This window comes from Homo sapiens, chromosome 17 (genome assembly GCF_000001405.40).
Source record: "Homo sapiens chromosome 17, GRCh38.p14 Primary Assembly".
Classification (NCBI taxonomy): domain Eukaryota; kingdom Metazoa; phylum Chordata; class Mammalia; order Primates; family Hominidae; genus Homo; species Homo sapiens.
Window position 1 is genome coordinate 8405122 of NC_000017.11, and position 25774 is coordinate 8430895.

The following is a 25774-nucleotide window of genomic DNA, read 5'->3' on the forward strand; positions in this document are numbered from 1 at the left end:
AGGGCTGACATTTTAATAAGAGTAAGTGTGAGTCACCCTGAATATCTAAGGCAGAGGGGTTGGAGGCTGGGGAGCAAACATGGGGCCAGGAACTGCAGGCCCGACCCAGAAGCAGTGGAGAGAAGAGAGGTGGGGAAGGGGATGGGATAGAGTGAGAATGCGAGTTTACAGTTAAGGCCAACCTTTGGCAGGGCAGAGACTCTTGGTCTGTTTACATCACTGCCGTCCATGAAAAGACACCTGGCAATGATCTTTGCCATGCTGTTGTGGGCAGGCCTAGATTACCGACCAGGGCCCGGATAGGGGACACTGAAGGTTGTGTGCTGTTTGAAGACAGCCCTGTTGCCCTGAGTGCACATAGTTGGCCAGGTGGGGCCAGCTCCAGTCCTGGCTCCAGATGAGGATGGGCTCATGCAAGGGAGGCAGGGCGAGGCAAGCTGGCTGCCCTACGTGTGCTCAGCATGAAGACAGTGAGGCGGTGCACAAGGGCAGGAGGTGGGGGCACCTCCCAGCCATGAGTGTGTGTGTGCACATGACCCTTGACCCTCCTCCCACCGCGCCTCCACTTCTCAGCATCCTGCTTGATCTGGTGACTGTGGGCAGATGGGAAGGCCTCACCAGAGAGGGCAAAGGACCCCACAAGTATGGAGTAAAGTATGGCCGTGTCCCTAGGGAAGCCTACACAGAGGCCAGGGGACGAGATCTGCTGCTTCAGTGGCCCCACAGGATGCCGCTGGGGCGTCCCGGGTGAGGCTGCAGTCTCCACAGTGAGACCAGGGGATTACCCTGGGTTGGTGCAGCCCTGAGGGTCTCCCCACCCATTTGCAGCTGTCGGCTCTGGCCTGGCTTGCTCCAGCCAGCTCAAGTGTTTGCTTTGCCCCAAGCTTCCCTGTTGTTTCACCCTCCTGGGCTCTGCCCCATTATTACATAGCCCAGGACTGCTGGTAGAACCGGGGACACCTTGGACCTCTGAACAGAACACATAGAGGCGCCTCCCTCTAGGAAGTTAATTGGAAAAAGGCCCTCTTTCTTCTCTGGCTGTGTCAGGGCACATGGCTTGGCAGGCAGAATAGGAACTGATTTTCGTTCCCAATTCACCTGCTTTGGTTCCCAAGCTCCCCAGCCCAACAATATGCAGTGGCCACAGGTCTCACCCCATCCCATCCCCTCCCTCTGAAGACTTCCTCGGCTCCCCATTGCCCTGAGGCACAGCCCATACTCAGGGAGCCCATGAAGCCCTCACTGCTCTCTGGAGACTTGCTCCAGCCAGCCCCTCTGCTGGGCTATCTTTTGCTACACAGCATGGCCACAGCTCTGGCTTCCAGCTCAGGTCCCTTGAAGGCCCTGGGCTTGTGGGCCTCTGTGATCTTTTTTTCATGCTTTTTTTTGGGGGTTGTTTCCTGGCTGGAATGCCTTTCTACCTCATTACATCTCTCCTGGCATCTCCTCTACATCTTTTTTTTTTTTTTTTTTGAAACAGGTTTTCGCTCTGTTGCCCAGGCTGGAGTGCAGTGGCACCATCTCAGCTCACTGCAACCTCCACCTTCTGGGTTCAAGCAATTCTCCCTGCTTTAGCCTCCCGAGTGGCTGGGATTATAGGCATGCGCCACCACACCTGGCTAATTTTTGTGTTTTTAGTAGAGACAGGGTTTCATCATGTTGGCCAGGCTGGTCTCGAACTCCTGACCTCAAGTGATCTGCCTGCCTCGGCCTCCCAAAGTGCTCAGCATGAGGCTGGGATTATAGGCATGTGCCACCACGCCTGGCTAATTTTTATGTTTTTAGTGTGTGTGTACATGACCCTTGACCCTCCTCCCGCCGCAGATGTGCGCCACCGCCCTTGGCCTTCCTCTATATCTTTTAATACCTCGATGAAGGGAGATCCTATTTCACACATCTCTGTAGGCTCTGGCACAAAGACCCAGTATTATTAGAGCCCAATAAATGTTTAAGTAAAAAAAAGCTGCCTTCTCAAGCCTAACTCATGTGTGTTGGGCCAGTAGTGAGGTGAAGGGGGTGTTTGAGCAACACAGTCATTCTACTTTCCATTCTTTTTTTTGTTTTTTTGAGACAGAGTCTCACTCTGTCACCCAGGCTGGGGTGCAGTGCAGTGGCGCAATCTCGGCGCACTGCAACCTCCGCCCCCGAAGTTCAAGCAATTCTCCTGCCTCAGCCTCCCAAGTAGCTGGGATTACAGGCACCTGCCACCACGGCCAGCTAATACTTTTGTATTTTTTGGTAGAGATGGAGTTTTACCATGTTGGCTAGACTGGTCTCGAACTCCTGACCTCAAGTGATCTGCCCGCCTCAGCCTCCCACAGTGCTGGGATTACAGGCATGAGCCGCGGCACCCAGCAAAAACATCCATTTCTTAAAAATATCTTAAACATGGCCTGGCCTGGCACCGTGGCTCACACTCGTAATCCTGGCTCTTTGGGAGGCGGAGGTGAGTGGATCGCTTGAGCTCAGGAGTTAGAGACCAGCCTGGGCACCATAGTGAAACACCATCTCTACTAAAATACAAAAATTAGCCAGGTGTGGTGGAGCGGATCTGTAATCCCGGATACTCGGGAGGCTGAGCCATGAGAATTTCTTTTGAACCTGGGAGGCAGAGGTTGCAGAGATCGCGCCACTGCAGTCCAGCCTGGGAAAAAATACGAAACAAAACACAACCCTTAAACATAAGCATTCATACCTTTAACAGCCTCAAATATAAGTGTCTGTACCTTAAAAATATAATTAGGGGCCGGGCACGGTAGCTCACGCCTGTAATCCCAGCACTTTGGGAGGCCGAGGTGGGTGGATCACGAGGTCAGGAAATTGAGACCATCCTGGCCAACATGGTGAAACCCCGTCTCTACTAAAATACAAAAAATTAGCCGGGCGTGGTGGTGCGTGCCTGTAGTCCCAGCTACTCGGGAGGCTGAGGCAGGAGAATCTCTTGAACCTGGGAGGTGGAGGTTGCAGTGAGCGGAGATTGAGCCACTGCACTCCAGCCTGGCGACACAGCAAGACTCTGTCTCAATTAATTCATGAAACGGTACAAACTTTAATTAATTAATGCAAACTTCTAAGTATAAAAAGGTTCACTTGTGTACCATCTGAAGTGCCACTCATGCGGACTCTGGCACGAGTGGGTGAGAGCTGGCGCCCACGCAGGGGACAGAAACTTGGGATCCCAGAGCTAGAAACAGGCGACTCTAGAACTTTCCGTGGCTGAGCCCAAGGCCCGGGTGAAATGCTTGACCCGAGAGCCCTTTCGATGGGAAACCACTGAAGTGGATCAAACAAAAGAATTCAGAGAAAAGTAGCTTGGACTCTTTCAACAGGATGAAACTAGCAAGGAAGGACGGTGACCCGAGGGTGCGGGCTGGGGAGGAAGTGGAGACAGCAGGGCGGGACACCAGGTGAGCAGAAAGGGGCTGAGTCATGGCCCAAGCTTGTGCCAGCCGGGGCAGCGCGGGGCTGCACTCCTGGCACCCACCTCACGGATTCCCTCTCACTGTTGTCAAGTGACCCACTCCCGGGGCAGAGATGCTTCAGGACAGGCGGGGGAGGGAAGCCACCAAGACAGTGGAGAGGTTTGTTCTCAGGGACACGGCAGCATTTGGAGAAACAGTGCTTGACGTGAGCTGGCCGCCTTGGAGGATTTTCTGAGTTGGCAGTGTTCATCCCAGGGCTTAAATCCTCCCGGACAGCTAGGAGGCCTCAATTCTTGAGACAGGTAAGGCCCGGGTCAGGGACAGAGTTCAGAGTAAGAACAATCTTATTTTCGGATGATAAAAATAGCACTACTATTGAAAAAAAATGTGGAAAATTTTAACACACACATAAACACACACGCACACACACACACACACACACACACACACACAATACAAGCTGTACACCACTTCTACAGAAAACTACCATTAATATTTTGGTGTTTATTCCAGCGTGCATATATATATATAGCCATATAATATATAATTATGTTAAAATGTATAGTTGTATTTATACATATGATATATAATTATTTTTAAGATAAATGAGGTCACATTGTATGAATGCTTTTGGGACCTTTTTTTTTTTTTCAATTGTTAACTTTTAATCCCAATAAACATTCTTTTAGATCCTCTTTTTAAATAGATGTAGTAATTTGCTTAATTAATCTCATGTTGATTCATATTTAGGTTGTTTCCAATTTTTCCCTATTATAAAAATTGTTGGCCGGGCGCAGTGGCTCATGCCTGTAATCCCAGCACTTTGGGAGGCCGAGGTGGGCGGATCACCTGAAGTCAGGAGTTCGAAACCAGCCTTGACCATCATGGTGAAACCCTGTCTCTACTAAAAATACAAAAATTACCTGGGCATCATGGCATCCACCTGTAATCCCAGCTACTAGGGAGACTGAGGCAGGAGAATCGCTTGAACCCGGGAGGTGGGGGTTGCGGTGCGCTGAGATGGCGCCATTGCACTCCAGCTTGGGCAACAAGGGTGAAACTCCATCTCAAAAAAAAAAAAAAAAAGTCTGCAGTAAGTGTTTTTACTGCAATATATTGGTGGTATTTCCTTAAAATAAATTACTAGCAATGGAATCGATAACTCAAAGGATAATATTGTTTTAAGGCCTTGTGATAAATATTGTAAATTTGCCTTTTAGGAAGGTTGTGCCTTCCTAAATGAGGTCATGAGGTCAGGAGTTCGAGACCAGCCTGACCAACATGGTGAAACCCCGTCTCTACTAAAAATACAAAAATTAGCTGGGTGTGGTGGCACGCTCCTGTAATCCCAGCTACTCAGGAGGCTGAGGCAGGAGAATCGCTTGAACCCGGGAGGTGGAGGTTGCAGTGAGCCGAGATCACGCCACTGTACTCTAGTCCGGGTGACAGAGCGAGACTCTGTCTCAAAAAAAAAAAAAGAATGTCCATGTGAATGTTGCAAACGCTTTCTTATAGGGACCAGTATTAAATCTTTGTGGTTTTACCCTGAGTCAGAACACTAAGAGCCTGGTTTATTTACTGACCACTTGCTTTGACGCTCGTGAGAAGGCTGTTCTGTTGAAGTCGTAATGCTTTGCACCCAGTAGGAGCTCAACAAATGCCTAATGAGCTGAACTCAATTGAGAAGGTCAAGGGGCTAAGCAAACATGGGGGTGCTGCATCATTGCCATTTAGAGAGTAACGAGTTATCTGAACCAGCGACAGGAATAGTGAATGGTGAGTGTTGAAGGGGCAGAAATAAAGAACCAAGGGATCCGTTACAGAAGGCTCAGACCTTGAGCTGCAGCTTTGAGAGGGAATGCCTGGAGCCGAAATGAGCGATACATACCTAATCACGGCCAGCAGGTGGCGCTCTAAAGATGTCTCGTTGCTATCCAGACTCCCAGCCAAGATCTTGCTGGAGCACCGGGAAGTGGAAACTGAGTGAGGCATGGGGAACCTCTCAGCCCTAACTTTTTGCGCTGTGCTTCCTCCGGAAGTGCAGTTCCCAAGATCAGGAGCCCTGTAGGTATTTTTGCTTTGTTTTCCTATGCTTGTTTGGCTTGTGGGTGTCTCTGTAGAGCACCATCCATTCAATTCAGTTTCGAACAGTATGGTCTCGAACTTTGATGAGCAAACCCTCACCTGCTTCTCTTGTGAAAATGCAAATTCTGATTCAGTAGAACTGGGGTGGGGCCTGAGATTCTGCATTTCTAACAAGCTCCCTGGTGATGACTCATGCCCAGTAGTTCTAAAATTTGTTAGAACATGCTGTGTAAAGTTCCATCTCTATGCAATATGGGAGGTGAGAGAGAAGCAAATCCAGGCTCTTCTCTCAAAGGGTTTACCAGAGTGAACACAATTTCACAGAAATGTCTGAAATACAAGTTAGAGTGTGAGCCCACTCACGGCATGACCTTGGGCAAGTTGCATGACTTCTTTGGGTCTCAGTTTCCTCATCTGTAAAATGGGAATAGTAATAGCCTCTACCTTAGAAAGTTACTTGAGAATTAAAGCAGGATATTGTACATAAAACACTTGCACAGTGGCTAGCACATAGTAAACCTCAACAAGGCTTGGGGCACCCTAAAGCAGTATGGAGTCAGGCAGGTTACCCTGGCAGGGTGGTAAATTGGAGGAAGCAAGTGGTGGGGGTCAATCCTTAAGAAGGCGCCATCTTGGGTTGGGTGCATTGGCTCGCGCCTGTAATCCCAGCACTTTGGGAGGCTGAGGCGGGTGGATCATGAGGTGAGGAGTTCAAGACCAGCCTGGCCAAAATGGTGAAACCCCGTCTCTACTAAAAATATATAAACTAGCCAGGTATGGTGGTGGGCGCCTGTAATCCCAGCTACTCAGGAGGCTGAGGCAGAGAATTGCTTGAAGCCGGGAGGTGGAGGTTGCAGTGGGCCAAGATCGCACCACTGCACTCCAGCTTGGGTGAAGAGGATGCCATCTCAGTTGTCAGGATATCCATCATCTGAGAAGAAGGGTGTCAGGAGGTGAGGACAGAGAGCCAGGAAGAGGTCAGGTGCCTTGATTAGCAGGTGGCAAACCCAAGAGCTGCTTTTGAGGGGGATTTAAGTGTGCTGAGGCTAAGCAGGAAGCAGCCTTCCTTCTGGAGATGGAGGTGGGCAGGATTTCCAGGCAGATCAAGCAGCGGCTTTCCACACACGCCCCTATTTCACATCTTTAGGAGCTTTAGGAACTTGCGAGAGGAGCTAAGAGGAGCCAAGTGTCACCCTGATCCTGCCTGCGTGCATGGCTTTGCCACATCCTGTAAAAGCCTCAGTCCCACTGCTATGGATTCCTCAGCCCAGGTCCCTAAGTTTACCCACATGCTTTAAATAGGGGTGATGTTTCTATGAACCTCTAAGATCCACAAATATTTATGGACTTAACCTCCAGGGCTCTGATGAGTGCCCCTGGGGATACAGAGACAAATCCACACAGCCCCTACCTTCACGGCTGACCCTGGGGAGAAAAGACATCACCCCGGGAAAAGGAAAAGAATGATTAGTGAAGGGTCTCCTAGCCCTTCTTAACAATGGTGCTTCTTCTAGATCGTAAGACTAATTGATGCATGAGACCTACAGCCACTGCAGAGGCAAGAGTGTTCAGGGGACTCTTTAGACCAGGGTGTCTGACCTAATAAAGCCATAAGGAGTGAGTCAGATCTGATAGGGCTGGAAGGGGACAACCACTAACAGCTAAAGGGACTAATTGGACTTGGGTGGAGCCAATTACGCACGTTATCTCATTTAAGCCCTACAAAATACTATGAGGTCAGTACCAGCATTGTTTCCGTTTATAGATGAGGCAAATGAGACTCAGAGAGCAAAGCAACTTGCTCAAGTTCTTTTTTTGTTGAGATGGAGTCTTGCTCTGTCGCCCAAGCTGGAGTGCAGTGGCACAATCTTGGCTCACTGCAACCTCCGCCTCCCGGGTTCAAGTGATTCTCCTGCCTCAGCCTCCCGAGTACGTGGGATTACAGGTGTGTGCCACCATGCCTGGCTAATTTTTGTATTTTTAGTAGAGACAGGATTTCACCATGTTGGCCAGGCTGTTCTTGAACTCCTGACCTTAGGTGATCCACTCGCCTCGGCCTCCCAAAGTGCTGGGATTACAGGTGTCAGCCACCGTGCCCGGTTTCAAGTTCTCACAGCTACAAGTGGCAGGTGGAGGCTATGGGACAAGTTCATTCTCTTGTGTACCATGTTATGTGCTTGGCCCTTGTGGAGAGACAAACAACACTGGCATTCACTGTCTCCCCACCTTAAGTAGTGACAGCTCTTCCCCATGCCTTTACCCTCCAAATACGGGGATGAAGGCAGGAAAGTGGAGGAGAGAACAGGACATCTGTCTGGAAGACCAGTGGCTTCCAAACTACACATGCAGGGGAGATGGGAAGGCTGAAGGCCTGGCTGAGAACTTGAATTTCTTCTTTCCTTCCCGAAGCACTGAAGTCTTGCTCAACCCCAGCTGAGTGATGAGGCGGGCAGGGTTGCCTCACTTCAGGGCAGCAGGCCCCAGCCTTCCTGGCTCTAATCCATTTCCCATCCTTGCGTATCTTTGGTCGGACGGTGATTCTCACTCTTCCTATTGACTTCTACTTTGTGTCAGCAAGTTCAGCGTGGGCCCCGTATGCTGCCGTGGATCTGATCAGCTGAGGCCTGAGACACAGGACCAGGTACATTGGGAGGAAAGAGCTGATTGGAGAAGGTCTGGGCCACATGAGGGTTTGCCTGAGAGATGCCAGAATGGGGGGCTCCTGATGTCTGAGGACCCTCTGTGCCCATGAGGCAGGCGGATTGTCAAAGGCTGAGGTCCATTTGGAAAGTTGGTTATGTCCCTGTGGCATGAGGGTTGGGTGACATAAAGAGACGGCTTTGGTGGTTTCCTGAAACCATATCATTTGCGCACATCTTCCCCCTGATATTCTGATCACCTTGATTTGGTTTCCTATTTCCTGAACTGCCCACATAGCATTTTTCTGGGTTGCAGAGGGAGTTCATAGGGTTCTGACAGGTTTATCTGGAGCCAACAGAGACAGTCAGTGAGATGCACTGAAGCCATGCTGAGCTGACCAAGTTAGGGGCTTGCGATCATGTCCTGGGACCTTGACTTCACTGCTCATGGGCCATTTGCTTCCCTCTGAACGTGTTTTCTCATCTACAAAATGTAAGACATCTCTATTTTTTTGGATGTTTGTAAACTTAAGCAGAATGATGATTGTGAAGGTGTTTTGTAAACTGTATGATTGTATTCTTCAGGGTTTGGGGTTACTTTTATTTCATTTTGTAAATGGAACTAGATGATTTTTCCTGATAATATAATATCTGATAAAAATTTAATCAGTACAGAGACATTGAAAGTGTTTGCATAATTCTATCTCTAAAGATTAATATTTTGGCATATAGACATCTAGACTTTTAAATGAATATTTTTATGTCAAATTCTACTTACTGTCTTTCAACCTTTTTTTCACTTAATAGTATCTCTTGAGTGTCATCTCTTGTTAATTCATAATTATCTACCTTGTCCTTTTTAACAGCTATGTAGTATTCCATTGTGTGGCTGTACCATGATTTATTAAACCAGTCTCCTATTGGTGGGTGTTTAGGGTGTTTCCAATTTATTTCTATAATAATAAACAGTGCCACAGTAAACATCACTGAATGTACATCTTTGCATACTATTATTTCCTTAGAATAAATCCTTAGATGTTGGATTGCTAGGTGAAAGGTTGTACATATATTTAGTTTTCATTCATTTGTCCAGATTCCCTTAAGAAATGTCGTACCATGGCCGGGCGCGGTGGCTCACGCCTGTAATCCCAGCACTTTGGGAGGCCAAGGCTGGCGGATCATGAGGTCAGGATATCGAGACCATCCTGGCTAACATGGTGAAACCCCGTCTCTACTAAAAATACAAAAAATTAGCCGGGCGTGGTGTTGGGCACCTGTAGTCCCAGCTACCCGGGAGGCTGAGGCAGGAGAATGGTGTGAACTTGGGAGGCGGAGCTGGCAGTGAGCTGAGATCGCGCCACTGCACTCTAGCCTGGACGACAGAGCGAGACTCCATCTCAAAAAAAAAAAGTGTCATACCATCTTATTTATTTATTTGAGGCCGGGTCTTGCTATGTTGCCCAGCCTGGTGTGAAACACTGGCCTCAAGAGATCCTCCCACCTCAGCCTCCTGAGTAGCTGGGATTACAGGCTTGAGCCACTGTACCTTCATTTGCTTAGTTTTTAGATACATATCACTGATTCCTCTCTAACAGACCTATAAAATTCCTGGCAATATGATCAACACATTAGATTATCTCTCAGTCTCTATTATCTATTAGATTATCTCTCAGTCTCTTTCTCTTATTCCTCAGAGACATCTGCCTGGTGCCTCATCCTACTGCTCCCTCTTGGATTGGTTTCTCCCCAGGACTGCTGAATGTTGTCATCTTAGGAGTTCCCTTTTCTCTTTCTTGTGTGAATCCTCTCTCTTTTGGATACCACCTTCCTTTCTTCCTCCCTCCCTCCCTCCCTCCCTCCTGCCTCTTCTCTCTTTCTGTCTCTCTGTCTCCCTCTCTCCCTCTCTCTTTCTCTCTTTCTTTCTTTTTTGAGATGGGATCTTGCTCTGTTGCCCAGGCTGGAGTGCAGTGGTGCGATCACAGCTTACTACAGTCTTGAATTCCCGGGCTTAAGCCATCCTCCCACCTCAGCCTGCCAAGTAGCTGGGGCCACAGGTGTCTGCCATCATACTTGGCTAATTTTTTGCATTTTTTTAGAGACGAGGTTTTGCCACTTTTTAATTTATATGTATACTTTTTTTTGCCACTTTATAGTTTTAACATTTATTTATTTATTTATTTATTTAGAGATAGGGTCTCACTCTGTTGCCCAGGCTGGAGTGCAGTGGCGCAATCACAGCTCACTGCAGCCTCGACCTCCCTGGGCTCGGGTGATTCTCTTAGCTCAGCCTCCTGAGTAGCTGGGACTACAGGCACGTGCTGCCATACTTGGCTGATTTTTGTATTTTTTGTAGAGACAGGGCTTCACCATGTTGCCTAGGCTGTTCTGGAACTCCTGGGCTCTTGCCTCGGTCTCCCAGCGCTGGGATTACAGGCGTGAGACACCTATTTTCCATTTTTAATGTGCCTTGCCCATTTTACATTTTTTATTGTGGTAAATAGATGGAGTCTCGCACTGTTGCCCAGGCTGGAGTGTGATGGCGCGATCTCAGTTCACTGCAACCTCTGTCTCCCAGGTTCAAGCGATTCTCCTGCCTCAGCCTCCTGAGTAGCCGGGATTACAGGCGCCTGCCACCATGTCCGGCTACTTTTTTGTATTTTTAGTAGAGATGGGGTTTCACCATGATGGCCAGGCTGGTCTTGAACACCTGACCTCGTGATCCACCCGTCTCCGCCTCCCAAAGTGCTGGGATTACAGGCATGAGCCACCGCGCCTGGCCCATTTTAATCATTTTTAAGCGTACAGTTCAGTGGCATTAAGTACGTTCACATTGTTGTGCTTACTGTCACCACCACCCATCTCCAGAACTTCTTCATCTTCCCAAACTGAAACTCTGTACCCATTAAGCACTGAATCCCCATTTTCCCCTCCCTCCCAGGCCCTGGCAACCATCATTCTACTTTCCGTTTCTATGAATTTCACTCTTCTAATTACCTCATATGAGGAGAATCATACAGTACTTGTCTGTTTGTATGGATCTCACATTTTCCCCTTTATTTTCTTCCCTGTTTTGGTGACATGCATCTTCCAATGACAGGAGGTAATTTTGATAGGTTTTGACTATCTGGAAACAGTCCTTCATTCTATTCTTATACTTGTTGAAGGGTCTGGCTTGATTTAGAATACTTGTTGGAAATGATTTTTTTCTCTGAATGTTAAAGGCAATGGTTCATTGTTTTCAAGCTTCTAGTTTATTGTTGAAGTCTTCTGCTATTATGATTCAGGATCCTTTGTACTTGTCCTGGTTTTATGTCTGTGGAAGTTTTTAGGAGTGTCTTGTCATCCCTAGGATTCTGAAATTTCATCTGTGGGTGTTTTTTCATCGATTGTCCTGCGTACTCAGGAGACCCTTTCAATCTGGGTGCTCATGTTATTCAATTCTGGAGGAATCTCTTGAATTATTATCTTAAAATAATTCCTTCCTCCTCATTTCCCCTGTACTTGCTTTCTGAAACTCCTATTATTTGAATATTAGACTTTGGGGTTTATCCTCTCATTTTCTTCCTTTAATCTCCTGTTTGGGTGATCTGTCTTTTGTTCTCCTGTTTTGGAAGATTTTCTCAATTTAATGGTCATGCTCTTCAAATGAATATTTTAATTTCAACCCTCATTGATTTTTAAAAAGCGCTCTTGTTCTCACTTCTTTTTTTGAAGCCCCGTGTTCTTGTTTCATGATGTAATGCTTTTGTTTATTTCTCTGAAGATATTAAACATTTTTTCCAGCTTACTTATGCTCCCTGCATTGTGTCTATTGCTGCTGAATCTCTCTCTCTTTCTTTTTTTCTTTTTTATTTCTTTCTTTTTTTCGAGACAGACTCTTGCTCTGTCTCCCAGGCTGGAGTACAACAGTGCAATCTCGGCTCATTGCAACCTCTGCCTCCCATGTCGAAGTGATTCTTGTGCCTCAGCCTCCCGAATAGCTGGGATTACAGGCATGTGCCACCATGCCTGGCTGATTTTTGTATTTTGACCTCAAGAGATCTGCCCACCTTGGCCTCCCAAAGTGCTGGGATTACAGGCATGAGCCACTGTGCGCAGCCTCTTTTTTCTTTTTCTTTTCCTGAACCTATGGATTATATTGAAGCCCTTGAATTTCTTTTATGCTATTTTGTTCTATCTTTCACATTGGAGGCTTCCTCAAATGTTTGCTGATTCCTTGTTGAATGTTCATTTTTATGTTCAAGGAACTAGAAGCCGATTGAAGGGTGTTTGGGTCTGTGTCTGTGCGTGTGTCTGTATCTGGCCCTGGTTGTTGGATCTCTGTGTATGGTGATCAAATGGGGGGACCAGTCCAAATGATTGGGAACCCCCCAGAAGAATGCTCCAATCTCCTGCCTGGAGGATACAAGCCAGGCTGCTAACATTCTAGGGGGCATCAGGGGACACGAGGGGGTCTCATCATTCTGTATGTAGCTTCAAAGACTTCCCCTCTCCCAAATCCTTCTTCCCTTTATGTAGTGACTTAACCCTGCCCTCGGATGTGTCCAGTCTCCCCAGATCTGGAGCTATTCTGGTTTAGTTCCTCCAGAAAGCAAACCTCCTTCTCCTGCTGGGGTGGGAGAGAAGTAGATGCCTTGGCTTGTTGATTGCCTGGGCTGTGAAGCCTGTGTTGAAATGCTTTGTAAACACATCATATGTTTCGACAGATCTTCCTGTTTTTAGCCCCACCCTACCTTGCTTTTCAAAGTAGCCCGCACCTCCAGTTACTGAGACTTTCTGGAGTTAGAGGCCCAGCACTGCTTGCTTCTGGTTGGCATTTAGTTTTCAGCCTTTTCTGATCTACTGCGTCAGCTGTCGCTTACTCATCCACTTTCCAGCTTCCAAAATCCTGTTGACATCCCTTGTCCACTGTTGTTTCCTTTCCTATCATCTGTCCCTGTGGGTTTATACCTTTTAAAATTTTTGTTCGATCTTTCTTTTTGGTGGGATTTCAAGAGGAAGTGAAGATACACGTGTTTAATCCATCATGGTAACTGAGATGGTTACTGCATTTTTCACTCTGTGACCAGCATGGCAGGAGACAGTGGGCTTCCTTACACTTTACTAACATTGGGTATTACCATTTGTCTTAAATTTTGCTAATCTGATAAGCAAAAAGCAAGGAGATATCTCAGTGTCATTTTAATTTATGTTTAAAAGTTATTAATGATGTAGCTGAGGGTCTTCTTAGGTGTTTATTGGCCATTTATATCTCTTCTATGAACCATCTATTTGTGTCCATTGCTCATTTTTCTACTAGGGCAGGACGACTGTTAAATTATTAATGTATGGCCAGCTCTATAAAAAAGTTTATGGCTGCTTCCTTCCTTCCTTCCTTCTTTCCTTCCTTCCTTCCTTCCCTCCCTCCCTCCTTCATCTCTCTCTCTCTTTCTCTTTTCTTTCTCTCTCTCTCTCTCTTTCCTTCCTTCCTTTGTTCTTTCCTTCCTTCCTTCCCTCCCTCCCTCCCTACCTCCCTCCTTTCTTTCTTTTCTTTTCCTTTTCTTTTCTTTCTTCCTCTCTCTCTCTCTCTTTCTCTTTCTCTCTCTTCTTTTTTATTTTTTTGACCAAGTCTCACTCTATCACCCAGGCTGGAGTGCAGTGGTGTGATCACGGTTCACTGCAGCATCAACCTCCTGGGCTCAAGTGATCCTCCCACCAGAGCCTCCCAAGTAGCTGAGACTATAAGCACACACCACCATGCCTGGCTATTTTTTTTTATTTTGTATAGACGCAGTGTCTTGCCATGTTGCCCTGGATGATTTTGAACTCCTGGCCTCAAACAATCCTCCTGCCTGGGGCTCTCAGAGTGCTGGGATTACAGGTGTGAGTCACCACACCTGGCCTGATCCCTTATTTTCTTGTATATGCAGTCTCAGAGCAGACTTCAGAAAATAGTGATTCTTAATGAATTCATCTAAAGTGTTTGACGATTTTCTTCCCTTAGATTATCAAAGTAACGTGTATTTGCTATAGAAAATTTGGAAAATACTGATAAACACAAAAAAGAAAATATGAATTACTCAGAGATAACCACCACTTATAAATATATCCAGTCTAATACATATAAATATATTCCAGTCTTTTTTTCTGAGCATATACTTATAAAAAGAAAAGTGGAGTAATTTTATTTTGTGTCATGCTCTCAACTTATGAAATCATAATTTGTTTTCATATGCATTGTTCTATGACATCATTTCCAGTGACCATACAGTATTTCTTTGCATGTATATACAATCATTTATTTAGCCAATCTCCTAAATGACACACATTTAGGTTTCTATTGGGTTAAAATTTTGATTAACAAGTTCCTCTCTTGATCACGACCCCATCTAATCCTGTTTCCACCATGTATCTGCTTAGCATTCTCTTTTTTTGGGGGAAAAAGGAAAAAGGTAAACTTTAATTCTTTTTCAGGTTACATTATTACTAATTCCAATTTAATGAATACAGACTCATAGAGATTTTCTAGCACTTTCCATGTTTGTTGCTGGGTCAGAGGGAGTGATCGGGAAGGGTCATTCTGGGACCCTCATTAGATACCTCCACAGCTTTGCATCACAGTGAAACTGACGAGGGCCAGAAGCACCCATGAAGGAGTGCAAGAAGGAATGAGGAGAATAAAGAAGCAGATCACCCGAGAAATAATAGCTTAACGGAGAGAAAAATCCAAAGACACAGACTGGTCTAAGAGCTGAAGACCTGAATTCTGTCCCTGAGTCGGCCACTAACGCAGTCTCATGTGTCCTTGGGCAGATGGCTCAACACTTCCCTGGTTTTCTTATGTGGCAGATTATTTCAAGGTTCTCTTCTACGTCTGAGGGTCTATGAATGCTGACCTTGTCATACTAGCTGTGTGACCTTGGAGACGTTGCTTAACCTCTCTAGGACTGGGTTTCCTCATCTGTAAAGTGGGAACATGAATAGCTGCTTCATAGCATTGTTGTGAATGAGTGTTTGTAAAGCACTTACGAGAGTTAAGTTCTCTGAGCCTGCTCTGGTTCAAGAGGCTGCCCCCCCAAAATAAAAAATAAAACACTTCACACAGGGCCTGTCCCATACTAAATATTCAATAAATGATAGCTATTTTTTTAAATTGCATGCTGACTGTTATGTAAGAAGAGGACAATTACATCATCCCACACTCTGTGTACAGAAAGGACTCTTGGCTTCTCAAAAGTGGTTTCAAAGTTCAATTTGCATCTGGGACAGATGCCAAAGGGCAAACTACAAAGTCACCACTGGCCACTGACCTCCATTCTCAGCTTATTCTTCCCTGGGGCCTGGACGCTGTCCAGATGTAGGTCAAGTAAACAGGCTGCTGTTTAACACAGATAAGTCAGATGTATGAATGCTGGTTGACAGGGGAAGCAAAGGGAAGCCCTTTATATAAGCCCTTGTAAGTCTCATTATATATTTTTCAAATATAAAATACCTATGAGTGTAAGAGAAGGAGAACCAAGCCTTAGATTATATGAATCATCAATGTTAGGGATGCTATTAAGGAAAAGCTGACGTACTTTGAAGTTGTCATTGATGAGCATGGAGACAGGAAGCAGAAGTTGTGGGTGTAGCTGAAGTTTTGCTCTTTGCTGGTGTGTATTCTTGGACAAATTACCCTTTTCTGTAAATTCAGTAGGCTGGACTATATTTTTATTCCCTAAGTGATGGTCTGTGTACTACTGGTGACAGGCAGATTGATGTTAAGTGGTAAGAGATGCACATTTGAAATTTCAATAGTTAGGTATTTATTTTAGGGAATGTTAGGGAAAATATGATTAACATCAATTCTATAGTTTCATAGAGATGATCATTTAGAATGAGGTTAATGGAAGATTTAAGCTAATCTTTAAATAAATGAGTACATTCCAATAAATATTCAAAGATGATATGCAGAAACAGCAAATAATGTGCAGGTGGTACAACTGGAAGATCAGAAAGGGGTAGGCAGAATAATAGGCCCCCCAAAAATGTTCACATCCTAATCCCCAGAACCTGTATGTTACCTTATATGGCAAAAGGGACTTTGCAGACATGATTAAATTAAGGCTTTTGAGATGGGGGGATTATCTGGGTCAGCTCAATGTAATCAGAAGGGTCCTTAAAAGAGGGAGGCTTATCAAAGTCAGAGAAGGCAATATGATGATGGAAGCAGCTATTGGAACAAATGCAGCCACAAGCCAAGGAGCGCTGGTGGCCTCTAGAAGCTGGAGGAGGCAAGAAACTGACTCTCTCCGAGCTTTCAGGAGGAACCAACGCTGCCCGACACCTTGATTTTAGCTCTTTAAGTATCGGTTTAGACACTACTGACCTTCAGAAGTGCAAGAAGATAAATCTATTGTTTTAAGCCACCAGGCTTGTGGTAATTATAGCAGCCACAGGAAACAAATACACCAGACCTTAGATGCCCATGAAGTGGTTCATTCTGCAAGATCAGCAATTCCTTAGGGCATAGAAAGGAACGTTGGCAAGAATAAGACTATCCTTAGTCATTACCCTCACCCTCCCAGGAGAGGGCTGACTCTGCCATCACATTCTGCAGACTGGCCAAGGAGAGGAAGGGCTCTCTGCTCCACCGGGATGGTGCTTGGCTAGATGTCAGGGTGGGTCCTGACTCACTCACTGTCAACAATGTCATCTGGTTCAACCTGCTCATTTTACAGATGAAGAAACTGAGGCCCAGAGAAGGGAAGTCACTTTAACAAAATCAGCTGGGATGGCGCTGATTTGGCCAAGGTGAATAACATGAGGCATGGCTGGGTTCTCACACCAGTGTGGGAGCCCTGAGAAAAGGTGGTGCCTGCAATGGCTGGGGGTGGAGGGTAGACCTTGCTGTCCTTTGATCCTCTGCTCTATGTCTCTGGGCCTCTTGCTTTCAAACTACTTCCTCTAATATCTTTTTATTGGGGTGTTAATAACCATCCTGTTAACACATAATCTTTAGAAAATTGTTGAAACAGCAACGTGCTTGGAGAAAGGGCTCCCCTGCCTCTCCCCTCCACCCCCACCTTTTTTTGTTGTTGTTGACGGAGTCTCGCTCTATTGCCCAGGCTGGAGTGCAGTGGTGCGATCTTGGCTCACTGCAACCTCTGCCTCCTGGGTTCAGGTGATTCTCCTGCCTCAGCCTCCCAAGCAGCTGGGATTACAGGCACCCGCCACCATGCCCAGCCCCCTGCCTCCCCTTTATCTTGTCCCCAGCACTTCAGTGAATGTCTTCTCTTCTGCCAGGCCTGCTTCCCTCTCCTGGAAGGGGCATTTCTACTGTGATTAACATGGAAACTGGGATGTTTCAGGTCTGCAATTCAGTGTTTATGAGTAAAAATCCACCTCTATAGTATAGGCACTCCTGAGTGAAGAAGTCCCGTCGCCTAATTTTCAACGGAAAATGTTTTCCATGTAAAGGCCATAAAACCACCTTGTAATTTTCTTTTTTCCTTTTCCTTTTTTTTTTGAGACGGAGTCTTGCTCTGTCACCCAGGCTGGAGTGCAATGGTGCGATCTCGGCTCACTGCAACCTCTGTCTCCCAGGTTCAAGCAATTCTCTGCCTCAGCCTCCTGAGCAGCTGGGATTACAGGCACCCACTACCACACCCGGCTAATTTTTGTATTTTTAGTAGAGACAGGGTTTCATCATGTTGGCTGGTCTTGAACTCCTGACCTCGTGATCCACCCGCCTCAGCCTCCCAAAGTGCTGGGATTACAGGCATGAGCCACTGCGCCCAGCCCTCCTTGTAATTTCGAAGCAGACATCTAGATTTGTGTTGTATCTCATAGGGATGGATGAAAACTAGTGTGAAATTTCTTCTGTGATCCCATGTACTGTTATTTTATCATATTAAGTTTTAGTTTTAAATGGTTGGGGTATTATTTTGTTCTTATTTCGAAAATGGTCACCAGACAAGTGACCCCCCCTAGAGAAGCAATCCTTAACATTCCAGATTAGTGACAGTTGACATCCCAGGTAATTCTACCACTCAAAGTCTCAGATATCATTATGTTTTCAGTTAGTAGGTGTTTAGAAGGTATGAAATTGAAAAGATTGTAGGGCAGAAACTTACACTGGAGAGCCAGTATATATGTTCAAAAGAGGGAAGTGTAGTCCGGGTGTGGTGGTTCATGCCTATCATCCCAGCACTTTGGGAGGCTGAGACGGGCAGATTGCCTGAGGCCAGGCGGTAGAGACCAGCCTGACCAACATGGCAAAACCCCATCTCTACTAAAAATACAAAAAATAGCCAGGCATGGTTGTGCATTCCTGTAATCCCACCTATTCAGGAGGCTGAGGCAGGAGAATTGCTTGAACACAGGAGGCGAAGGTTGCAGTGAGCCGAGATCAGGCCACTGCACTCCAGTCTGGGTGACAGAGCAAGACTCTGTCTCAAAAACAAACAAACAAACAAACAAAAAAGGAGGGAATTGTACATGACAACATACATAACATCAGGTTGGACTAATTAGGGAGTCATAGCAGAAGTGAATTAATTCCTAAGATCTGTGTTGCAGAATTGGGAGCCCTTCCTTTGAGGCTTTACTGACATGAGTGCTCAGGTCACTCTTGTATCTACTGGGGTTACTTGGCTGAAAGGCTGCCTTTTAAAAAAATTTTAACAGATCCTAAATCCATAGGCTTAGGAAATAGTTTACATCATTTACAAAGAATTTTGAGGAAATTACCTTGCTTTGTTAAGTTTGGATGCATCCTTATTTTTTAAACTTTAGAAAATTACACGTTTAAGACATTTTTGATAAAAATACAGAAAAGAAAAAAAGGAAGGAAGAACAGACGAGAGAGAGATTAGACTGTGATCTCACCTCATTTTGGTGTTTTTGTCCCTAGACCCTTTGTCTAACGTATAACGTATGTATGTTGTTCTACTTTACAAAGATGGGATCCCATACCGATTGTTGAGTTAATTGCTTGATTCATTTAACTGCATATTGTGGACATTTTCCTTATTAATATTCTTCTGTAACGTTGTTACCATTTGGTTACTATTATATTGTGTAGCTATTACATCATTCCACTTCATTAGTCCTTTAGTCCTTGTTGTTCCTAATTTTTTGCTAAACAATGCTTTGATGAACATCCTGTTGGACAATTTGCACACATCCTTAATACTTCCCTTTAGGTAAATTCCTAGAAGCAGAACGCTGGATCACAAAGGTTGCACCTTTGTTTTTTGTTTTGTTTTGTTGTTTTGTTTTTCTTTTGTTTTGAGACGGAGTCTTGTTCTGTCGCCCAGGCTGGAGCGCAGTGGCGCGATCTCAGCTCACAGGAAGCACCGCCTCCCGGGTTCACGCCATTCTCCTGCCTCAGCCTCCTGAGTAGCTGGGACTACGGGCACCCGCCAACATGCCTGGCTAATTTTTTTTTGTATTTTTAGTAGAGATGGGGTTTCACCGTGTTAGCCAGGATGGTCTCGATCTCCTGACCTCGTGATCCACCCGCCTTGGCCTCCCAAAGTGCTGGGATTACAGGCGTGAGCCACCGCGCCCACAGCCCTTTGTTTTTTTAATATAAAGTTTTTATTCCTTTTACATTTTTTGTAGAGACGGGCTCTCACTGTCTTGCTCAGGCTGGTCTTGAACTCCTGGGCTCAAGCGGTCCTCTTGCCTTGCTGCCACGGTGCTGGGATTATAGGCGTGAACCCCCATGCCTAGCCGAGGTTCCACGTTTCTAAGTGTTTGATACAGGCTGCTAAACTGCTTACCAAGAACTGTGACATCCTCCTTAGCCCTTTTCACGAGGGTGCTCGTTTCTCAGTGCTCTTGTATGCATTTGTAGTCTAATGTTTTAGAATCTCTTATACCTGTTGGATGAAATATAGACTCTCTTCTTTGCTATCCTACTTTGAATGTGTTTGATTAGGATCAAGGCAGGATATGATTCACATGTTTCTTAGCCACCTGCATTTAAAAATTTTGTCAATTGCTTCTTATTGCTTGTTTCTAAAGGGAAGTTCTTTATTAGAGTTCTAAACTAAAAAAGTGCTTTGAGGCCAGGCGCAGTGGCGCATGCCTGTAATCCTAGCACTTTGGGAGGCCAAGGTGGAGGATCGCTTGAGCCTAGGAGTTTGAGACCAGCCTGGGCAACGTGGTGAAACCCCATCTCTACAAAAAGTACAAAAATTAGCTGGGTGTGGTGGCACATGCCTGTGGTCCCAAGTACTTGAGAGGCTGAGGTCGGGGGATCACCTGAGCCCAGGAGGTCAAGGCTGCAGTCAACTGTGAGAGAACCACTGCACTCCAGCCTTGGTGACAGAGTGAGACCTTGTCTCAAAAAAAAAAAAAAAATCATTGAAAGCTTTTATTCATTGAATAAATGTTAACTGCCCATAACATGCCAGGCATTGGGGCCAGAGATAAATAAGTCATGGCCGCTGCCCTAGATGCTACCTTAAATGTAAAATATTAAAAAAACCTTGACTAATTTTTTCTCCTTAGCACTTGTTACTGCTGGCATACTCAGGGTTCTTTGTCTTTTTTTTTTTTCTTTTTTCTTTTTTGAGTTAAGGTCTTGCTCTGTTACCCAGGCAACCAACCCATGGTACAATCATGGCTCACTGCAGCCCCAAATCCCTGGCCTCCAGCCATCCTCCCACCTCAGGCTACAGAATAGCTAGGATTACAAATGTAAGCCACCTTGCCCAGCTAATTTTTAAATTTACGTGGAGATGGGTCTCGCCATGTTACACAGGCTGGTTTTGAATTCCTGGCCTCAAGTGATCCTCCCACCTTAGCCTCCTAAAGTGTTGGGATTACTGGAGTAAGCCCTTGAGCCCAGCCTCTCTGTCTATTTCTGTTTCCCTTCTATTTTCCTTCTTTTTGTTTTTTCATTTTTAGAAAATCTCCAGGAAGGAAAGAATTTAGCTTCTTTTGTTAATTGTGCTATGCCAGGCATCTAGAACAGGGCCAGGCCCTCATTAAATATTTGTTGAATGGTTGGAAGCATGATCTTTTGGTCCTGGCAACTTTGACTCATTGGCTTACCTGGTAATGGGAATCGGGCTAAAATTGCTTAATAAGCTTAGACTGGTAAGAAACACTCCATTTCTTTTCAGCCCCGTCATTTCATTAGTCTAGTTTGGGAGTAGGTAAACCTGGCGCCACCTTGTCTGTATAAAGGTATGTGAGCACATATCATTTTTTCCCAGGGACAGTCACACTGTTTATGGAGGTGTGATGTCAACAGCCCTTGGGGTTGCCAGGTGTTAACCCAATGGGCAATTAACAGTGTCATGCCATCCTTTTCTTGGGAGGCAGCTGCCACTCTGGGGTGTGGGTAGTGCCTGTCACGTGGTCGGGATGAGAGCCAAGGATGATAGTGAAGCCTGAAGCTTGGGGAAGTCAGGAAAACCGTGAGGTTCCAGATCAGCAGGAAGTCCACAGTTAAGGGAGCCTTCTGGGAAGAAATTAGGACCAGCCAGAGATTCATGGGAGCATGGCAGGGTATCAAGTTCCATCAATAGGGGAGAAAAGGCCAGACAAACCTCAATAGGGGATTAAAGGCTCTTGAAACCTCAGTTTACCCCCCAGATAAGGATGAGGTCTCTTTCTTTCCAGGTACCATCACCCAGGGCAGGACCTTCATAGGAAGGCCTGTTTCAGCCGCAACCTAAACTGTTCTCATTTTTCTCTTTTCTAAAAGCCACCTTCCAGCAGGCTACACCTGGCGGCCTGCACAAGGCAAAGCACCTTCCTGGCAAGGGAGCCAAGGGCCAGAAGCAGGCCGCATTCTCAGGCACAGTGGAAAGGGAAGGAAAGGGAAGGGGGCTTGGAACCTAAGACACTGCATAGCAAATTCATCTCTACCCAATTCCAGCCTTTCTGTTGACTTACAGCCAACTGGAGTTTGAAAGTGTGGGGATAAACTGATGGGAGAGCTGAGGTTTGGGAGTCTGAGCTGCTTTGAGTGGTCGGTGAGCTCTGTTTGCTCCAGAAGCTAATGAGGATGCAATAAAGACAACAAATAGAACCTTCTTTCCCTTTGGGCTATTCCTGGGTATAGGAATAGCCCAGGCTGGCTGTTTGTGGCTGGCTGGGTCAGGGACCGAACCATAGTGAGCATTTTTGAATCGGACATGAGTTGGTTACCATTCAAAGTCTTGGAAGGGAGGCTGGGCATGGTGGCTCATGCCTGTAATCCCAGGACTTTGGGAGGCCGAGGCAGGCAGATCATTTGAGGCCAGGAGTTCAAGACCTGTCTGGCCAACATGGTGACACCCCGTCTCTACTAAAAATACAAACAATTAGCTGGGTGTGGTGGTGCAGGCCTATAGTTCCAGCTACTCGGGGGCGGGAGGCTGAGGCAGGAGAATCGCTTGAACCTGGGAGGCAGAGGTCTCAGTGAGCCAAGCTCGCGCCACTGCACTCCAGCCTGGGCGACAGAGCAAGACTCTGTCTCAAAACAAAAACAAAAAACAGACAAACAATAAAACCACCCAAAGTCTTGGAGGGGGAAATTAATCTCCTGGTTGAAGGCTCTGGCATTCTGTGGACTGCCCAGCAAGCCATTTATACGACCAATATTTATTGAGTGCCCACTCAGTGACAAGTGTTATGATGAAAAATTAAGATGCATTTCTCTATTTAAGGCATTTGCATGTACTTTTATGTTCTTTTAAAATTTCACATCTTGGTTACATCTTATATTGCAGTCTTTGGTTTTAAGGGCCTTGACAACTTTACGGAGGAAGAGAATCCTATGAATATGAAGCCCTATTTTCACTCAGGGAGCAGCCCTGCCACACTATATCCTTTGCCATGGTTGTTTTTCTTTATAGCATTTCTCATGACCTGGCAGAAATAGATTAGTCTGCTTGCTTGTTGTCTATTTTCCCTTTAGAATATAAGCTAATTATATTGGGTAGGGGTTGGGGGTGCTTTTTAAAGTTGTGGTGGGATATCCATGGCTTAGAACAGTGCCTGGTCCTCAGCAGGCACTAAACTCCTTGCTAATGAATGAAAGACTTTTCTCTCTATATAAAACCACTTCTCGCCTCAAGGCTCAAGTGTGTGTGGTGTGTGTGTGTGTGTGTGTGTGTGTGTGTGTGTGTGTATTTTTTTTTTTTTTTTTTCCGAGACAGAGTCTCATTCTGTTGCCCAGGCTGGAGTGTAGTGGTGTGACCTTGGCTCACTGCAACCTCCGCCTCCCAGGTTCAAGCAATTCTCCTGCCTCAGCCTCCCGAGTAGCTGGGATTACAGGCATGTGCCACCACACCCGGCTACTTTTTGTATTTTTAGTAGACATGGGGTTTCACCATACTGGCCAGGCTGGTCTCGAACTCCTGACCTCGTGATCTGACCACCCTGGCCTCCCAAAGTGCTGGGATTATAGGTGTGAGCCCCCATGCCTGGCCCCAAGTGTATATTTTTAAGATTTTTGTTTTTTTGAGATGGAGTCTCTTTCACCCAGGCCAGACTGCAGTGGCATGATCTCGGCTCACTGCAAGCTCCGCCTCCCAGGTTCACACCATTCTCCTGCCTCAGCCTCCCGAGTAGCTGGGACTACGGGCTCCTGCCACCACGCCCGGCTAATTTTTTGTATTTTTAGTAGAGACGGGGTTTCACCGTGTTAGCCAAGATGGTCTCGATCTCCTGACCTTGTGATCTGCCTGCCTTGGCCTCCCAAAGTGCTGGGATTACAGGCATGAGCCACCGCGCCCGGCCTATTTTTAAGATTTTAAAAACACATTATTATTAATATTATTTAATTACAAAAGCAAAGGATATTGCATTAGGGATTATAGACGCTATGGCCTGGGTTTAAGATTTAGGCTAGAGAAAAGGCATAGTTGCCTATGACCCAAATCTTAGTTCCTTTGTAACCTATATCATCTAAGTTCAGCCTTTCATACCAGCGAAAATCTCTGTCTATGGTGACTTTTTTCAGGATTTGGGGTATTTTCCAGAATGTTCTGTCAGTCTTGCCTTTGAAGTTATAGCCACCAGACCATTGGTTCATTCTTTCACTTTCGTTGAAGCATATTAAATGAGTGTTTGCTAAGTGCCTGTTGCTGGGGATATATTAAGACAATCAACACTGTCCCTACACTCAGTGAGTTTTGGTTTCTTGGGGGAGATTGGACATCTCTGTAACCAAAAGGCCATGTTTAATAAGTCTCTTGTGAACTGTGTAGAGCTCCATGTGAGCTCAGAGGAAGGAGTGCTCACTTTGGGACTTTGAGTATCAGGGAAGGCTTCCTGGAGGAGCTAGCATATGAGTGAGACTTCAAAAGGCAGAGGAGAAGGTGGGTTGGCCAAGCCTAGGCAGCAGCTGCAGTGTAAAGGGCAGGGGAAGTCAACAAGATAGGCCCATAGAGGAAGGGAATCATCTATTTGGGGGACCATGCTGGTGGGTCTGGCCAGACCTAGAGAGGTGATCCATAGGATATAGACCGTAGAAGTGGGCTGGAGTTGCTTTGGGAAGGCCTTGAGTATGAGACTACTTTGTTCCTTATCACAAAGGTAACAAGATGCCAAAACAAGTTTTGGAGGCAGGGATGCTCTGCATACAGTGAGATTTTAGAAAGATTATTCTTATGGTTATGTGTGGACTGCTGGGCTGAAACAAGAAGAAATTCGAGGGAGAGAAGTTTGGGGAGAGAGGGACAGACAAATAAGAAACTTTGGATTATGGGCGATGTGGGAAGAAAGTACTGAAATATGACTAGATTTACTTGAGTTTAGGAAGGGAAAGTCTTTGGGCTTTGGTGACCACATGCGTGAGATGCAAGCTGGGGAGGGAAATGATTAGGGGGATTTGATGAGTGCCTTGTGCTTCACTGACTGGAATGATGGCACCATTGGCAGAAACATGAAAATTGTTTTGGAAATTTCTGTTGGGGCAAAGGAAAATCTGTTTGGGGTTTCGGCATGTAGAGCTGGAGGTGGTGGTGGGACATCTGGTGGACATATCTGCCAGACCATTAGCAACTGGCCAGTCAGTGGGTGTCCCTTGCCCAGCTAGATCTATACCCTTAGAGATTAGCAAAAAATGCTGGCCAAAGGAATAGAGAGAGATTAGGTTGAAGCTGATTTTGAGATGTCTTGCTCACCTGATTCAGTAGAGTTAAGTATGCCCCATCTCGTCAGAATTTCCACAGTGGGCCTGTGTGCATTACATATCACCTTCTGTGAGTGTGTGATGTGGCCGAAGTCCAGCATCTTTACTAGCTAGGGTTCGGGCTTGTACCCAGATCTCTCTTAGGGTAGCCGGTCAACCTCCACCCTTCCCAGTGGTGGAATCTGGCCTCTGTTTCCTGAATCTCAGAGTTTGTGACAGGAGAGATGTTGGGATCCTCATGCATGCTCTCAGGGACTGTGACATTAACCTCTTTGGCTCAATCCAAGAAAGACCTTGTACTGGGACCCATGCCTCGGCAAACCCCTTCCTAATGATTTATAAAGGCAGAGGGTAGGGCAGCCCTCACTCACCTTTTTTACCACCACAAGGGCTGGTTTTATAACTTCTGTTCCCTTTCGGGGCTGATTTCCATCTTCCTTTCCACTTTATTTTTTCTGGATTTGGTATATTGGAAGCAGGGGCTGGGGCAAAGGTTGCTGATGGTTAATTGCCATGCCCAGCCCCTG

The 25774-nt window shown here is 46.0% G+C and overlaps 1 protein-coding gene across 1 annotated transcript in view, besides 5 other annotated features; it reads left to right on the plus strand.

Annotated features, from left to right (window-relative positions):
- Nucleotides 5170-5464: an enhancer, noted in NCBI's record as "tiled region #12124; K562 Activating DNase matched - State 5:Enh, and HepG2 Activating DNase unmatched - State 4:PromP". NCBI's record gives its function as "activates a minimal TATA promoter and a strong SV40 promoter by Sharpr-MPRA in K562 cells, with weaker activity in HepG2 cells {active_cell/tissue: K562 | HepG2}" and the evidence as "EXISTENCE:reporter gene assay evidence [ECO:0000049][PMID:27701403]".
- The window catches only part of NDEL1 (nudE neurodevelopment protein 1 like 1), a 61198-nt gene continuing 43433 nt past the window's right edge, over nucleotides 8010-25774 (plus strand). Inside the window, exon 1 of the mRNA XM_047436861.1 lies at nucleotides 8010-8148. The gene's annotated coding sequence lies outside the window, so the exon portion shown is untranslated. The remainder of the gene's footprint in view (nucleotides 8149-25774) is intronic.
- Nucleotides 15250-15544: an enhancer, noted in NCBI's record as "tiled region #10869; K562 Neither DNase unmatched - State 5:Enh". NCBI's record gives its function as "activates a minimal TATA promoter and a strong SV40 promoter by Sharpr-MPRA in HepG2 cells {active_cell/tissue: HepG2}" and the evidence as "EXISTENCE:reporter gene assay evidence [ECO:0000049][PMID:27701403]".
- Nucleotides 15250-15564: a biological region, named in NCBI's record as "Sharpr-MPRA regulatory regions 4336 and 10869".
- Nucleotides 15270-15564: an enhancer, noted in NCBI's record as "tiled region #4336; HepG2 Activating DNase unmatched - State 8:EnhW". NCBI's record gives its function as "activates a minimal TATA promoter and a strong SV40 promoter by Sharpr-MPRA in HepG2 cells {active_cell/tissue: HepG2}" and the evidence as "EXISTENCE:reporter gene assay evidence [ECO:0000049][PMID:27701403]".
- Nucleotides 15270-15564: a silencer, noted in NCBI's record as "tiled region #4336; K562 Repressive DNase matched - State 5:Enh". NCBI's record gives its function as "weakly represses a minimal TATA promoter and a strong SV40 promoter by Sharpr-MPRA in K562 cells {active_cell/tissue: K562}" and the evidence as "EXISTENCE:reporter gene assay evidence [ECO:0000049][PMID:27701403]".